Here is a 1,470-nt window from a genome sequence, read left to right as displayed (position 1 = left end):
CTCATGTTGGCCAGGCTGGTCTCGAACTCCTGACCTCAGGTGATCCACCCGCCTTGGCTCCCAAACTGCTGCGATTACAGGCATGACCTACCATACCCAGCCTCTTCAGGGACTGTAGAAGACACGACTGATGACATCCAAATTCCCACTCTAAATCTCCCGCAGCTCCAAGGATCAAACTTAAGACTCTCCGTCAACTGTTGTCAACATTTAATTATACCCACCTCATCCTCATTAGACTCTTCTGTCTCTTTAGCTGCCCCCTGATAGCTGTGAGAAAGCTCACAGGGCAACATCAAGGAGGGCAGCCGAGGACTTCTGACATCTCCTCTGTGTGATCTTCCCTGAGTGCTCCCTTTTGGAAATGTCAGGAGCACTGCGGGCAAATTGCAGAAAAAGCTGGAGGGGCCTCCGTCAGCATCCCAGCTCTGTGCCAGCGACTCTCTGATGAGACATTGGGATTTGGAGGTGGGATACAGAATCACTCGGGGACTTTTTTTGAACTCCACATGCTGGTTCCTTCCCCAAACTCCTTGGAGATAGATCTCTCCTCACCCCCACCCTGGTTAAAAATCACTGATCTCAATGGTTAGGAAAGAGCTTTATTAAATTTAAATTTAGCATGTGAGGTTGTGGATAACCCTCTCTCTGTTTCTGAGAAACAACTGTTTACTATTCTAACACTCTAGAAACCTGGCAACCGACTCACAGAGGACTGGCAAATGCCAGCTAATGTGCAGCTGCTCTGCGAGGGACCCCGGCTCTAAGCACTCCTACCCGTCAGCCTGGTGCCTATGTTAGAAGGGGTACAAGACCTAGAACTTTTGCAGGACCAAAAAAAGGCAGTCAGGACCTATTTTTAATGATCCTGAGGATTATATAGAAAGGAAATTCCATTAAGTCCATGCAGCTCTTAAAAAGTATTTTGTTCCACTCTTTTCTTCCCCTGCCCTTCTGATTCTATTTCTGTATTTCCCTCTTTATGTTTATGGGTCTGGAACTGAATAGCAGTGAAATAAAGATGATTGTCCTAAAGTGATGTTCCTAGGTAGAAAAATGGGTTTCTAAAATCCCTGCTTCCACTGCTGGGATGGCAGTCTGGATAAAATTGCAGGGGGATTTGTGGGATCATTGAAGCTCTTGATATTCAGAGCGGGGATTTTTATTCTATTATCACTTACTCTCAGGAAAATGTGATGTGCGTTATAGTGACATGGGTATTATGGCCAAATTTGTCAGTGAACACGGAGAAACTGCCTTGTTCACATCTGTCTGAAACATTTACTGCAGGCAAAGCCCTCTGCTTGGATCCTCTTATTCTGAACCGCACACACAGCGCGTGATGCTTGCTTTTGGAGTGGGGTCACTGGACAGTAGGGGCAAACCGGTAACGGTATCTCTACAAGTGACATTATAGACATGCCATGCCACGTGATCCCCACGGCTAAAATGAGACTCTCGGAGCTAGAG

The 1,470-nt window shown here is 46.6% G+C and overlaps 1 annotated feature.

Annotated features, from left to right (window-relative positions):
* Nucleotides 514-1,071: an enhancer, noted in NCBI's record as "control region 3, which was negatively scoring by a predictive classifier". NCBI's record gives its function as "activates a minimal c-fos promoter by transgenic reporter assays in zebrafish embryonic heart {active_cell/tissue: heart(embryonic)}" and the evidence as "EXISTENCE:transgenic organism evidence [ECO:0001131][PMID:20075146]".

The sequence above is a fragment of the Homo sapiens genome, chromosome 1, assembly GCF_000001405.40.
Source record: "Homo sapiens chromosome 1, GRCh38.p14 Primary Assembly".
NCBI lineage: Eukaryota > Metazoa > Chordata > Mammalia > Primates > Hominidae > Homo > Homo sapiens.
This window is presented reverse-complemented; position numbering and strand designations above follow the sequence as displayed.